Raw genomic sequence first — 15,301 nt, forward strand, 5'->3', positions numbered from 1 at the left:
CCTCAGCCTCCTGAGTAGCTGGGACTACAGGAGCCCGTCACCACGGCTGGCTAATTTTTGTATTTTTAGTAGAGACAGGGTTTCACCATGTTGGCCAGGCTGGTCTGGAACTCCTGACCTCAGGTGATCTGCCCACGTCGGCCTCCTAAAGTGATTTAAAAAGGAAATATTCCCTCCTCCCCACTTTCATCTGGTTGTTCACATACTAATTCTGAGAAACACAGCCATTGCACTTTGATACTAATTATTCCATTTCTTACAATCTTTAACCAATACTCTGACAAATTGTTAATTTAAGAAGAATTTGCAAAGCAAGTAACCCTACTATGTTTTTTAAAAGGCAGACAAGAAAAGAGTGTGTGAAAGTGTCTCTTACTGTAACCTGCCCTGGAAGGGTAAGCCTTTTAAAATCACAGCCTAACACACCTGAATTCTGCATCGAGAACTTCAGCTTTCTGTGGTGTGTGACCGTATAATACAAGCTACATATGGTGGTGACCTACCAGTTTGGGTTGAATTAAATATTGAAAGCAAACTCCAGAAATATCTAAAAGGAAACACACCAGCAATATTGTATTGATTGTGGTAGGCTGCTTAATAATTAATTCCCTCACCTCAGTTTTTGAATGTTGTTCTGTTTATGCCTCAGTATCAAAAACAACTGAGAAAGGGGCCGCAGCTCCGGCCTTCATCTGCTATTGCAAATTCGGAGCAGGGTGCTACTGGGGGGTGGGGGAGTAAAGAGAACGGGCCCTTTCTTCGTGTGTCCACTTCGTAGGAACCCAGGCAAGAGTACCCAAGCAGACCTCTGCTTAAAGCAAAAACAGACTGAAGTTGTTTTCCCCTCAACACGGTGACCATCCCCAGGTTTAGCAGAGAGAATCTAAACAATGACCCTTGCAAACACAGCAAGGATACCGACAAACGCTGGAAAGCTCAGCTGTGGAGTTTTAGTCGTGGCTGAGTTTAGGTGGCCTTGCTTCAACGCCATCAGGGTTTTGAACACCGTCGGGGGGAAGACGCCAGTCTGCTCAAGTGGTGCCCAAACCAGAAATGCCAGTGTCATGTCCACGTTTCCGCTTCTTCGGAGAAGGGACCTGTCTCACACGTCCAGCCAGAGCTTCTGAGCTGGAGATGCAACCCTGCGACAGAGAAGCCCTGGTTTGTAATCATACCGAGCTTGGGCAAGGAGGCCGGAAAAGGTAGGTTCTATGTCTTGGGTGGGGCCTTGCTTAATTCTTTTTTGTTGTTGTTGTAGTTTTGAGATGGAGTTCCACTCTTTCACCCAGGCTGGAGCGCAATGGCACGATCTTGGCTCACTGCAACCTCCACCTCCTGAGTTCCAGTGATTCTCCTGTCTCAGCCTCCCAAGTAGCTGGGATTACAGGCATGCGCCACCATGACCGGCTAATTGTTGTATTTTTTAGTAGAGACAGGGTTTCACCATGTTGGCCAGGCTTATCTCAAACTCATGACCTCATGATCCGCTTGCCTCAGCCTCCCAGAGTAGTGGGATTACAGGCGTGAGCCACCGTGCCACGCCTCCTTGCTTAATTCTTAAAAGGCCTGATTGAGTTACGGATTTAACAACTGAATTCGTGAAAATAATCTCACTGGAAGGATTTTGCCAACAGGAAGAGTTCGGGATTGTTCATGGGCATTTTTTGTTTTGTTTTGTTTTCCTCATCACATGCAAAGCCTTCCTTGTTCCACCCACAGATGGGAGATGGAGACGAGTCTTTTCCTGACCAGGTTGTCAAGGCTCACGGGGGGCACACAGACCCTTCGGTCAGCTCCTACCTGCAGCCGGGAGCGGTACTGAGTGCCCAGCTTCAGGTTTCACGGATCTCGCAATGATCCTGACAGGCGCAGCAGCAGGGGGCCCAAGCAGGGTGGTGACTGCCCTGGGGGGCTCAGATAAAGCCAGCAGCACAGGAAAGCACAGCAGGGGCGGGTTTGTAAAGCAAGGGTGATGGTGAGGGGAGGGTTACCACATGGAGCCTGGGGCCGGGCCAGGCAGGAGAAAGAGGGCCTCATTCTGTTTTTCTAACCTTTGTTAGTTTCAGGTTTTAAGTACTGTGAGTATTCAAATTTGGGCTCCTTGCATTACCTGGTTTATGCAGGTAGAATGTAGAATACTATATATTAGGCCAAAAGACCAGTGAAAGCAACATTTCCTACATTTACTCTTTTTTTTTTTTTTTTTTTTTGAGACAGAGTCTCACTCTGTCGCTCAGGCTGAAGTGCAGTAGCGTGATCTCGGCTCACTGCAACCTCTGCCTCCTGGGTTCAAGCAATTCTCCCCCCTCAGCCTCCCGAGTAGCTGGGATTACAGGTACGTGCCACCACGCCTGGCTAATTTTTGTATTTTTAGTAGAGATGGGGTTTACCATGTTAGTCAGGCTGGTCTCGAACTCCTGACCTCACGTGATCCACCTGCCTCGGCCTCACAAAGTGCTGGGATTACAGGGTGAGCCACCACACCTGGCCTCGTCCATTCAATCATTCGTCCATTCAATTCATATTTCTCAAGCACCATCTAAGAGCCGAGCCCTGTACTGGGCCCTGGGTGTGTGGGAAGCTCCACATAGAGCTGCGCTGAGTCCGGTCCTTCCCGGGGCCGCCGCTGGGATTGGTCAGTGCTGCCTCCCACGCGATGCTGTCTCATCGGCGTACCTCCGAGAACACACTGGGTTCTCTTGGCTTTGTGCTGGGAGTCCCGTCATTTGATAACTGACATTGATAACTCGCGTAGGCACCCGAGACTCTACTTCACTGGCTGACATCGCTGATCTAAAATTGGGCGCGCGCCCACTCACTCCCGAGACCGCCCAGTTCCTACATCTTGCTGCAAGAGGCCATTTGGTCTGGGGCAAGGTGGCCTCTGGGTAGCCAGCCTCCACTTCAGCACAGCGTCTGCGAGGTTCAGAAATGCTCACTTCTCTCCAGAAGGCAGGGTGGGGTCCTTGCCACGGTGGGACCCCTCCATCTGACGCTAAGAACTGCAGCGGTGGTTTCTACTCTTGGCCTTTAGGTGCCGTGTCCCCAGGGGCCTTCTGTTTCCCGCCTAGGCACTAGACAGAGCCAGCCCTCCTTCTCTTCTGCCCACACCTAGAGGCCACACCCAGCCCTGGTCCCGTCCCCGCTCCCAGAAGCAGATCCAGTATCACACTCAGGAATGAGAAATTTGTACGGAAGAGTTAACGGGCAGGGGACTCACTCTTCATGCAGCAGAAGGTAACCTGATTCCTCCTGGGCAGTTGTGTTCCCCTCCTAAGTTCTCTCCTTTTGCTCATCCCCACAGTCTCTATGTGAAGCATTGACCTCTCTCTCCCTTGTTGTGAACCATTTACCTCTGAACTCAGCTTCTGGGCTCCATTCAGCCAAACAAAAGTCATGCGGATACTCGGACCATCTATGGTACTTTAAGGGTGCTCCTCGGTGGTCTCAGCCTCCGCACACCTTCCCAACACAAGATGATGGACATATTTTTTCAACTAACAAAATATAAGCAAACAGGCCGGGCGCGGTGGCTCTTGCCTGTAATCCCAGCATTTTGGGAGGCCAAGGCAGGTGGATCACGTGAGGTCAGGAGTTCGAGACCAGCCTGGCCAACATGGTGAAACCTTGTCTCTATTAAAAATACAAAAATTAGCCAGGCATGGTGGCGGGCGCCTGTAATCTCAGCTACCCTGGAGGCTGAGGCAGGAGAATTGCTTGAACCCGGGAGGCGGAGGTTGTAGTGAGCCAAGATTGTGCCATTGCACTTCAGCCTGGGCAACAGAGAGAGGCTCGGTCTCAATAATAATAATAAGAAGAAGCAAACAAAAATATCCTGGCTGGAATGCTATTGCGAAGGAAACATGTTCTCCTTGATATGGGTGGGTGAGGCTTTTCCTGTGATCTAGCCTTGCGCCCTCGGGTCACTGACTCTCCCTGGGCCTCAGTTTCCCCAGCTATAAAAGGAAAGGGTTGGTCTCATAGTCTCAAGTTCTAACTGGATCTGGAGCAACCGGGGACCACCATGGGAGAAGCGTCACTAACACAGAGAGACAATGGCCTCCTCTTCCCAAACGGAGTCATGGAACCATCTTTGGACCCATTAGCCAAATAGTCCTCATTCTCTGCATCATCTGGTTGGAGATGTCTAGAAAGAGACAGAATTCCAATTGTGTGCTAGGTGCCATAAAGAGACCCCTGCGCAGGTGGCTGAGGGGTTGCCATTCTGTCTCCCTGCAGGGCACTGACTTTCACACTAACAATGTCAACTCACCGACAACCCTAGGTGATTCTCCAGAAGTTCACGGCCAGCTGTCTGTTCTCACCACACAGAACCAATGCCCGTTCCCTTTTCCTCTAGCTCTGCCGTTGTTCCTACCTAAGTCACGTGCTGGTCCATCGAGCTCCCTGCATTTTAATGGTTGTTTTTCTGTTTGTTTGAGAGTGGAGGTTGCAAGAGAAGTCTGGTGTACAGCTTAGCGGGGGACAAGACCAAGCCCATGAATGCCGCTGCTATGCTAAAGCTTCCACACAGATCTTCTCTGGGCAAAGCCAGAACCTCATGCCTGTCAAACAAGTCAAAAGGGGTTTCTCTAAAAGCTTTGAAATGCAAGACTGATTCAAGGTAGAACTCAAAAATAACAATGACAACAGCTCCCCAAAGGGCCCACAGTCTCTATCTAAAGCCCTGGTGAGCTAGTCCATCACTCCAGAGCGTGTAAGCATGCAAAGCACTGCCGCGTGATCCCAGGCCCTATAAGCAAGGAAGGCACTACCCTTGAGGGAGGAGCCGTGTGTTAATTCCCATTTTAAAGCAAGTAGAAACCCAGGAAGGTAGAGTGATGTGCAGAAGAGAATCCTGTGGGTCAGAGATTCGGAGGTGCTGGGTCACACGACAAACCCAGGTTTCACCCTGTGCTCTGCCCACTCCGAGGCCCTGGGACCCAAATGTCATAAAACACTCATGCACTTCCCAGGGGCTCAGTGTAAATGGCGCACTCTTGGCACACCTGATTTTAACACTTGTCAAGCAGATAAGGCCTTGAGAAAATTTAGAAGAACAATGATTGGCATTTTGCCACTTAAAACCTTAAATGAACTCCCACTTTAAGACGTCAGCCTTTGAGGTTTATTATCAGGCAGCCTCTTCCACTGGAAAGATTCTCTGTTGCACTGAGGTCTCCGGCTTCACGTGCTGCACAAGAAAAGCACAGCTATTGTGCAAGGAGAATGAGAGGAGCAAAAATGAATATGAATCTGCTGCAAAATGCCCTCCTGATACTCATGTCTTATTCATGAATGTGCCTCATCAACATTGAGACCACAGGGAAATTTGTACTATAAGTGGGAATTCTAGAGAAAGTGGCTAACTTAAATTTTCTTACTTTAACCAGCTCTTGATGAATAATGCATAATATACAAGATGCTTATCAAGTTTGACTTAGAAAATGAGAAAGTAAATTTACTGAAATAAGAAGGAGAGAAAAAAACTCCAAATTATTCAAGGACTTGAGATCTACAATAACAACAAAATATCACAAGCACTTAAAAAAAGCTGACCAAGAGAAATTCCTCTCCTTAGTCATTTAGTCTACATGGAAAAAATCATCATCATTTATGGAGAACTTTATTTAATAAAATAGGCTGGCTGTGTGTAAAACACCCTCTTGTCCTATGTTCCTGTCAACAAAACGAAAATTCAACTTCTGCCTAACACCAGATGCCTAGATGGCCTGCAGTTTCCCTTCCAGCTGTCTGATAACATTGAACAGATAAAATCCTCCTTTAAGAAACAGAGAACTTTTAAGAGTCTGGCAGGCCAAAGAAGTTCTGCTTCAAAAATTAAAGATCTACAATTCTATTAGGACAAAAGGGAGCTTGGGAGCTCCCATGGGAAAGATTCCGTGTCTAGTCTGCAGAGCATCAGGCTTTGATGGGAAACTGGAACACTCAGCCAGCGCCATCTCCCCTGCCAGGAGACGGCCACGGACGGAGGTCACCTGCTCCTGCAGCTGTCGTGGCCACTGGCAGGTCTCAGCAGATCTCATGGTCCCTTAGTCCTGGGGTACCTGGGCATGAGAGGACAGGGACTCAGACTACAAGAGAGAGATGCTAATAAAAAGGAGAGAGTCAGATCCAAGTGACAGAGAGAGACAGAAAAGAGAGCGACTCACCAAAACCAGCACACTGTGGGCCCTTTGTGAACCCCAGATATCTGAGACAGACAGCTCTCAGTTAATTTAGAAAGTTTATTTTGCCAAAGTTAGGGATGAGTGCCCGTGACTCAGTCTCAGGAAGTCCTGGCATGTGCCCAAGGTGGTTGGGGCACAGCTTGGTTTTATACATTTTAGGGAGACATAACACATCAATCAACACGTGTGAGATGTATGTTGGTTCTGTCCAGAAAGGCGGGACAACTCGAAGCAGGGAGGGGGCTTCCAGGTCATAGGTAGGTAAGAGACAAAAGGTTGCATTCTTTTGAGTGTCTGATCAGCCTTTCCAATTCCAGCCATCAGATATGCATCTATGTCAGTGAGCGGAGGGCGAGTTTGAGTTCTGTCTGTCCTTTGTCCACAGGGAAATTCCTTATGAGGGAGGTATGTCACTCTTTTTTTCTTTCTTTCTTTCTTTCTTTTTTAATCTTAGTAGCTTCCTTTTTAAGGAATAGAATGGGATGCAGCTTTGCCCTAAGCAGTTCTCAGCTTGACTTTTCCCTTTAGCTTACTGATTTTGGGGTGCCAAGATTTATTTTCTTTTCACACCTTTCAAGGCAATCCTGCTCTGTCTGCAGAGATGACAGAAAGCTGCACTCAAGCGGGACCCAGCCCCTTTCCATTATGGACGCAGAGAACTGAGGCCCAACACAGTCCTGGCACCCAGCCCCCTTTCCATTACAAACGCAGAGAACTGAGGCCCAAGACAGTTCCTTGGCTGCAGAAGAGAAAGAAAATGAGAAAACCAGGAAGAGCAAGAAAAGGAGGAACAGGAAAGGGAGTTTATCAGTTTCAAATAACACTGTTTAATGAAGCAATTTTTAACTCATTTTTATTTTATTAAGTTGAACCTAATTCAATGTTTTACATTGAACCATATGAAATAGCCATTTTTGCCAGTAAAACTGGAGAATTTCATGTAGTTCCACTTGATGTATCGTCGGTGGGAGTCAGTTCTGACTTGATATATCGTTGGTGGGAGTCAGGTCTGACTTGATATATTGTTGGTGGGGGTCAGTTCTGAGTTGGACCCACATGTTTAGACCCTCTGGGTCAGGAATTCACAGACTTTTTCAAATTACCAAATTCAGGAATGAAAGAGTGGATGACACTGTTGACCAGCCTTACAGAAACAGAAAGGGATGTGATGGGGATTGCTAGGAGAACTGTGTGCCAATAAAGTAGGTAACTAAGAGGAAATGGAAATTTTTACAATAATAAAAGCTACTGAAATGAACTCAAGAAGAAACAGAAAATCTGAATACACCTATAACAAGTAAAGAGACTTAATTAGTAATTTTAAATTTTCCTACAAAGAAAAGCCCAGGCCCAGATAGAAGTAATACCAAAACTTCACTAACTCTTCCAAAAAATAGAAGACCACTTCTAAGGAACACCTCCTGATTCACTGTATGAGGTCAGTATTACCCCAATACCAAAAGCAGGCTAATACTGTCATCACAAGAAAACTACCTCAATGAATATAAATGCAGCCGGGTGTGGTGGCTCAGCCTGTAATCCCAGTACTTTGGGAGGCCGAAGTGAGCAGATTGCCTGAGGTCAGGAGTTTGAGACCAGCCTGGCCAACATGGGGAAACCCCATCTCTACTAAAAATACAAAAATTAGCCAGGCATGGTGGCGACACCTGTAATCCCAGCTACTGGGGAGGCTGAGGCAGGAGAATCACTTGAACTCAGGAGGCGGAGGTGCAGTGAGCCAAGATGGCACCATTGCACTCCAGCCTGGGCGACAGAGTGAGACTCCGTCTCAAAATAATAATAATAATAATGATAACGCGATTTGCTTTGCTTTTTCTTTTACATTGGCTAATTACAAGACACATTAAGAAGGTACTTGAGCACAATTAACTGGGGGTTGAGGGAGAGGGAAGGCCAGAGGCAGACAGAGCTCTAGTGATGATCCTGTGGGTTGAACCGTACAGTCTAGAGTGGCATGAGGGCGTGCACACGCGTCTCCTCTCCTGGCTTGCAATCCCACCGGCCTCACACCCCTGCAAGGTGCTGTCTTCAAGATTATTATAAATAGCAGTGCTGGGGGACTGCAGGACCAAGGACCTGGATGTACTCAATGTGATTGATTACAATGTGATGTGATTACAAAAACTTAACGTTTCAGCTGGGCGTGGGTGGCTCACACCTGTAATCCCAACACTTTGGGAGGCCAAGGCGGGGTATCACCTGAGCTCAAAACTGGCCTGGCCAACATGGTGAAACCCCATCTCTACTAAAAATATAAAATTAGCCAGGCATGGTGGCACATGCCTATAATCCCAGGTACTTGGGAGGCTGAGGCAGGAGAATCGCTTGAACCCAGGAGGTGGAGGCTTCACTGAGCCAAGATCACGTCATTGCACTCCACCCTGGGCAACAGCGAGACTCCGTCTCAAGAAAAAAAAAAAAAAGAAGTAACATTTCTTAGCATAAAGAAAAAAGAGAATACTTCAAGGAAAAAGACAAGTATCAAACTGCAAAAAAAATTTGCAAACATATGACAAGAGGCTAATTTACTGATGCAACAAATTTTACAAAAGAAAAAACCACAGTGGTAAAACTGTCTGAATATGCATCCAGAAATAAACAAAATGGCCAATTGACCAACTTCACGATGAATCTGAGAAATGTCAATTCTAACAGTGATTAAATATTTCACACCTATTTGATTAGCCCTCAGCATTGGAGAGACAGGGAGGTGAATCCGGAACTCTCCTTGGCTGCTGGGGGAGAATAAATTGGTAGAATCTTTTGGGGAGAAATTTGACTTTATAAATGAAAATCATCTATTAAGATGCACACTTTTAAGGTGGAGATTCCACTTAAGACTTCACGCTGAGACAATGGTGATCTGTATGGACAAAGGTTCACTCTGGCATATTTTGCAATAACCAAAAATGAATACAATATGGACGTCTATCACAAGGAGACTGGAGAGATGAATATGATAGAGTGATATAATTCAATATGGGTTTTTTATTTTTATTTATTTTTTTTTGAGATGGAGTTTCACTCTTGTTGCCCAGGCTGGAGTGCAATGCGATCTCGGCTCACTGCAACCTCCGCCTCCTGGGTTCAAGCAATTCTCCTGCCTCAGCCTCCCAAGTAGCTGGGATTACAGGTGCCTGCCACCACACCCGGCTAATCTAATTTTTTGTATTTTTAGTACAGACAGGGTTTCACCATGTTGGCCAGGCTGGTCTCAAACTCCTGACCTCAGGTGATCTGCCTGCCTCAGCCTCCCAAACTCTGCTTTTTTTTTAGTAGCATAGGAGGACCTGATACCTCCCTGCAGCCAAAACCCCTCCTAGCTCCAGGTGGACAGGAGGTGAGAGGGAGAGGAATCACCACAAGAAAAGGTCAGAATCGTCTGAGAGAACGTTTCTCCTTGGGGGAATCCCACAGCAGTGGAATAAAGCAAAGAACCTAGGAGACAGATGCCTCCTGCCAGGGGGCCTGATGTGGGTGCCTTGTTTACTAAGCATTTATTTATCACTGCTAAACACCCCCAGGCCGGTGGCTGAGCTGACCTCAAGATCTGAGATAAAGCTAGGGTGGGTAGAAGCAGAAAGTACAACTGCATAATTTCAGTGCCAATGAATAAAGGAAAACGGTTGTTGGCTAAATGGATCAAGCAGCCCACCCCACAGCCCCAAATACAGCATACGGTAGGAAAACAAATAAGTTATTTCCACTGGCATTGATGCTTTTGGGTCTTTTTGAGAATAATTTACTATAATTCGTGTAGAAAACCTTTGATTTTAGAAAAATGTTTTAAATAAATTAATTTTTTCACAGTCTACTGTTGATACAGGAGTTAAGAAGAAATTAGGCAGATAGTAAGGGTGTGGAAGTCCTCGGTGCGGTTTTTCCTTTTAATGAAAATCAGCCCCAAATCATTTTCCTTTCTAACAAAGAGCAGCCTGTGAAATCGAGCTGCAGACATAGATGCAGGCAGTTGTGCCAATCATTTTCAAGATGGCGGCCCCCTCTTGTCTGTAATCCCAGCTACTCGGGAGGCTGAGGCAGGAGAATTGCTTGAACCCAGGAGGCGGAGGTTGCAGTGAGCCGAGATCGCACCACTGCACTCCAGCCTGGGCGACAGAGTGAGACTCCATCTCAGATAAATAAATAAATAAATAAAGCAGGACTCAATTACAAATCCAAAAAGTGCTGGTGCTCTCAGACAACAGTGGAGGAAATTACCTCTCAATTCTCCTTTAAGGCAAACGGGTCGTGTCAAGGTCAGGAAGAGCAAATGCGTCTCCACTCAAAGGTGCGATTCAGAGCTGCCGGTGGCTGGGGCCCGTCCGCAGCCTTCCCTGAGCTCCCCTGTGAATGCTGTGCGGATTGTTCAGATGGAGATCACTGAACACCTACTAAGCGCCAGGTGTCTGGGGGAGCACGTCACTGAACACCCACTGAGCTCCAGGCGTCTTGAGGGGCACTTTCCACCGATTTTGTCCCTGATGGCAGAGCCGCTGTGGGACTGGAGGTCATAGAATTCTCTTCATCACACAGACAAGGACATGGAGGGTGGAGATGGCCGAGGGTGGCTACGGGCATCTTATCAGGAAGGAGTCTGCCTGGGACCCCACTCAGGGCTCACACCCACACACACACTCTCCATGCCTGGGACCCACACAGGGCGCGCACACACACACACACACACACACACACACACACACACATCCTCCACCTGATTCTTCTGCCTCCTGGATTCTGTCTGGGGCTGAGACCCAGGTAGCGGCCAGCACCAGGTGTCTTTCTGAAGCAGCCAGTACAGAGACCCAAGACAAGGCCCTGGGGCCTCCTTCCTGATGGGGCCTCCTTCCTACTAGGACCTCCTTCCTGGTGGGGTCTCCTTCCTGGTGGGACCTCCTTCCTGATGGGGCCTCCTTCCTGTTGGGGCCTCCTTCCTGATGGGGCCTCCTTCCTGGTGGGACCTTCTTCCTGGTGGGACCTCCTTCCTCATGGGACTTCCTTCCTGGTGGGACCTCCTTCCTGGTGGGGCCTCCTTCCTGTTGGGACCTCCTTCCTGATGGGGCCTCCTTCCTGTTGGGGCCTCCTTCCTGGTGGGGCCTCCTTCCTGGTGGGACCTTCTTCCTGGTGGGACCTCCTTCCTCATGGGACTTCCTTCCTGGTGGGACCTCCTTCCTGGTGGGACCTCCTTCCTGGTGGGGCCTCCTTTCTGATGGGACCTCCTTCCTGGTGGGGCCTCCTTTCTGATGGGACCTCTATCCTGGTGGGGCCTCCTTCCTGGTAGAGCCCATGGGGAGGAGGTAGGGACGGGACTCCCCCTCCTAAGGAGTCTGTCTGCCATGTGCATAGAGACACCTGACACCAGGGTCACAAAGGACCCGCCTTCCCCTTAGTCCCAAACTGAGGGGTTCCCAGAAGGATGGGACTTGCGGTGTTAAAACCAGGAATGTCCCAGGGAGGTGGGAGTGAGCCCAGAGCCCAGGCTTTTGCTGGAGCCCCCGAGTCGCAGGGCAGTGGCCTGGACTATCTCACCAGCTGGAGGAACACTGCCACCTGCCAATGGCGGCACTGCTAATTTCCGGTCACCGCAGTCAGCTAAGATTCATCCCACCTGCCTAGGGGCTAGGCCTCAAACCCACGTCATCTGCGTTGTCTGCAGCTGTCAGCGTCTTGGAATGTGCACCCACAGGGCTCACACGCTGAGCGAACTTGGCTGTGTGATTAGAGCCCCGGGCTTCTGGGTGAAGATTTAATTTCTCTTGTTAAATAATTTACAGCTCTGGCAGGCAGCTGAAGAAGTTTCATTTGCAAATGCCAGTGTTTTTAGCTTAGCTTTTTCCCTCAAAACTCTGAGTTTGAAAGAATAAACTTAAAAAGGATACGTTTCCAGGCTTTCTTCTCCCTTCATTGAATGGTGTTTCTTCATGTAGCTTGAGGAAATGGCTTGGAGTCAGTTGCAGGAAATAAAGTGAAAATTAGAGACTCACAGCCATATTGGCAAGAATGAGAGAGAGACAGACAGAGAGGAAGGTAGGAAGAAAAGAAGGCACATAGAAACCTAGGTTTGTATTATATGTGTGCATACACATGTGTAACCCTCTAGTACATAACGGGAATATGGAGGAGATATTGGGAACCCCTGTGAGACAGTGCACCAGTTTGAGACGATACATTGTGTACTTGGAAATAAGAGAGAACATGCTATGAGTTGTATTTATGTGCTACTTTGTTTATTTATTGTTGTTTTTCCCTGTCAGCAGCAGAATATGTGATATTTTGTCTAAACCTGACTATGTCCATATGTGACAGGCCTGAGGGGAAGCATGGTGTTTCTAACCTGTCTCTCTCTCTTCACTCCCTGCCCCACCTCCTGCCCCTCCCTGTCTCCCAGACCCTTCCCAGGCCTCTTAGGCAGCACGTGGTGGCCAGCAGAGGAAAACAGGATTCCAGAACAGTCATGCCATCTCTTTCAGACAAACACATGTTGTTAATACCAGCTTCCCTAACTTGAAATAAATTCATACATGTTATCTACCCTCACAGACAGTTTTTGAAAATCTCTGTAGTGTCCAGACTGAAACAGAAAAGAGAAGCCAAGATAAACCAAAGATCACAGGGATCCCCGAAGCTCTCCAGGGGCAGGGATGATCCTCCCCAGGGGTCGGAAATTCCCAGGTAACTTTTGACTCTCCAAAAACTTAACCACTGATAGCTTCCTGCTGACCGAAAGTCAATTAACACATATTTTATATGTTATATGTACTGTACACTGCATTGTTATAATAAAGTAAGCTAGAGAAAAGAAAATGTTATTAAGAAACTCAGAAGAAAGAGAAAATGCATTTATGGGACTGTACTGCACTTATGGATGCCGTAAGTTTACTTTCTTTATAAGATGAATCGTCCGTCTGAAATAGCGGCAACCACAGCTGCAGACCTCGATCTACGGTACATACCAAGCATTTCCACTTTTTCTGTTATGTGGTGACGTTTTTCTGCTTCTTGTGGGGGGGGGGGGGTTCCAGCATCACCAGTGGCACTTCGTGTGGGTCCTGTGGTACTATTCAAACACGAGAAATACGTGAGAACTGCAAGAGGTCACTGTTTCCTACCGAACGCGATGTACTGAAGAGACACCTGTTCACATGGAGATGATTAGCGTCACACGGAGTTTTAAGGGATTCCTCAGGATGCTCACGCTCACCATGACAGCTACAGGAGGTGGCTGTAAAGTCTTTGCAGTAGTACAGTACTCACTACAGTTAATTTTTATTCTATTATTATTATCTTTTTTTGACATGGAGTCTCGCTCTGTCACCCAGGCTGGAATGCAGTGGCACGATCTTGGCTCACTGCAAGCTCCACCTCCCAGGTTCATGCCATTCTCCTGCCTCGGCCTCCGGAGTAGCTGGGACGACAGGCACCTTCCACCACGCCCGGCTAATTTTTTTGTATTTTTAATAGACACAGAGTTTCACTGTGTTAGCCAGGATGGTCTCGATCTCCTGACCTCGTGATCCACCCGCCTCTACCTCCCAAAGTGCTAGGATTACAGGCGTGAGCCACCGCGCCCGACACTCACTACAGTTATTTTTATGCAGTTATGACATCACGCTGCATCTTTTTTTGTTATTGTTTTGTTTTGTTTTGTTTTGTTTTGTTTTGTTTTGAGATGAGTCTTGCTCTGTCGCCCAGGCTGGAGGGCAATGGCACAATCTCGGCTCACTGCAGCCTCTGCCTCCTGGGTTCAAGCAATTCTCCTGCCTCAGCCTCCCAAGTAGCTGGGATTACAAGCGTGCACTACCACACCTGGCTAATTTTTGCATTTTTAGTAAAGACGGGGTTTCTCCATGTTGGCCAGGCTGGTCTCAAACTCCTGGCCTCAGGTGATCCACTCCCCTCGGCCTTCCAAAGTGTTAGGATTACAGGCGTGAGCCACCGCACCTGGCCTCACACTGCATCTTCATATTGGTTTACATTTCTCTCAACTGTGAGTGGCACCATGTACAGTCTGTGTTTGTGTGCATACGTTTTCATAAATTTTAACTTTTTATAATCATTTGTGTATATTTTATTTTGGTAAATAATAAAATGGACTGGTATCTACATATATTTTATGTCTTCATGAGATATCTAACCTTTTCTTAATTTTTAAAATATTTCTAGGCTACACATTTTATCTGCAAGTTTTTTCAAATTGTTGCAAATCTCCAAAGTTTTCCAATACATTTGTTGAAAAAAATCTGTGTGTAAGTGGACACATGCAGTTCAAACCCGTGTTGTTCAAGGTCACCTGTAGTAGTTTTGATTTTTATTTATTTTGGATTTCTAATCATTATTTTTATTTTTAATTGATAGAATAATTGTACTTATTTATGGGGTGCAATATGATTTTTTTAATTGAAAGCAAGTTTATTAATAAAGAAATTAAAGAGTGGCTACTCCATCAACAGAGCAGACACAATATGATATTTTGATACATGTATACATTGTGTAATGATCAAATCAGAGTAATCAGCATATTTATGACCTCAAATTCTTATCATTTTTTATGATGGGAACATACAAAATCCTGTCTTCTAGCTAGTTTGAGATATATAATACCTTATGATTGATTATATTCACCCTACCATGCAATAGGACACCAGAATTTATACTTTCGATCTAATTGTAACTTTGTACCGATTGACCAATCTCTCCCTGTTTTCCCCTTACTAACACCCTCCCCAGCCCCTGGTAACTGCTATCCTACTCTCTACTTCTATGAGATCAGGATTTTTAGATTTCACAGATGAGTGAGACACGGGGTATTTGGCTTTCTGTGTCTGGCTTACTTAACATAATGTCCTCCAGGTTCATCTATGTTATTGTAAATAACAGGATTTTGTTCTTTTTTATGGCTGTATAGTACTCCATTGTGTTTATATACCACATTTTCTTTATCCATGCATCTGTTGTGGGATACTTAGGTTGATTCCATATCTTGGCTTTTGTGAATAGTGCTGCGATAAACATTGGAGAGTAGTCATCTCTTAGACATACTGATTTCATTTCCTTCAGCTATATACCCAGAAATGGGATTGCTGGATTATATG

General features: G+C 46.7%; 1 long non-coding RNA gene across 1 annotated transcript in view, besides 1 other annotated feature; it reads left to right on the plus strand.

Moving 5' to 3' along the window:
• Nucleotides 1-647: 647 nt before the first annotated feature.
• The window catches only part of ATP11AUN (ATP11A upstream neighbor lncRNA), a 37,454-nt gene continuing 22,800 nt past the window's right edge, over nucleotides 648-15,301 (plus strand). The window contains exon 1 of the long non-coding RNA NR_164109.1: nucleotides 648-1,202. This is a non-coding gene — a long non-coding RNA (ATP11A upstream neighbor lncRNA). The remainder of the gene's footprint in view (nucleotides 1,203-15,301) is intronic.
• Nucleotides 1,354-2,248: an enhancer, noted in NCBI's record as "H3K4me1 hESC enhancer chr13:113302064-113302958 (GRCh37/hg19 assembly coordinates)". NCBI's record gives its function as "activates a minimal SCP1, AML or CMV promoter by ChIP-STARR-seq in naive H9 embryonic stem cells {active_cell/tissue: H9 hESC(naive)}" and the evidence as "EXISTENCE:reporter gene assay evidence [ECO:0000049][PMID:30033119]".

Source organism: Homo sapiens, chromosome 13, assembly GCF_000001405.40.
Source record: "Homo sapiens chromosome 13, GRCh38.p14 Primary Assembly".
NCBI classification, from domain to species: domain Eukaryota; kingdom Metazoa; phylum Chordata; class Mammalia; order Primates; family Hominidae; genus Homo; species Homo sapiens.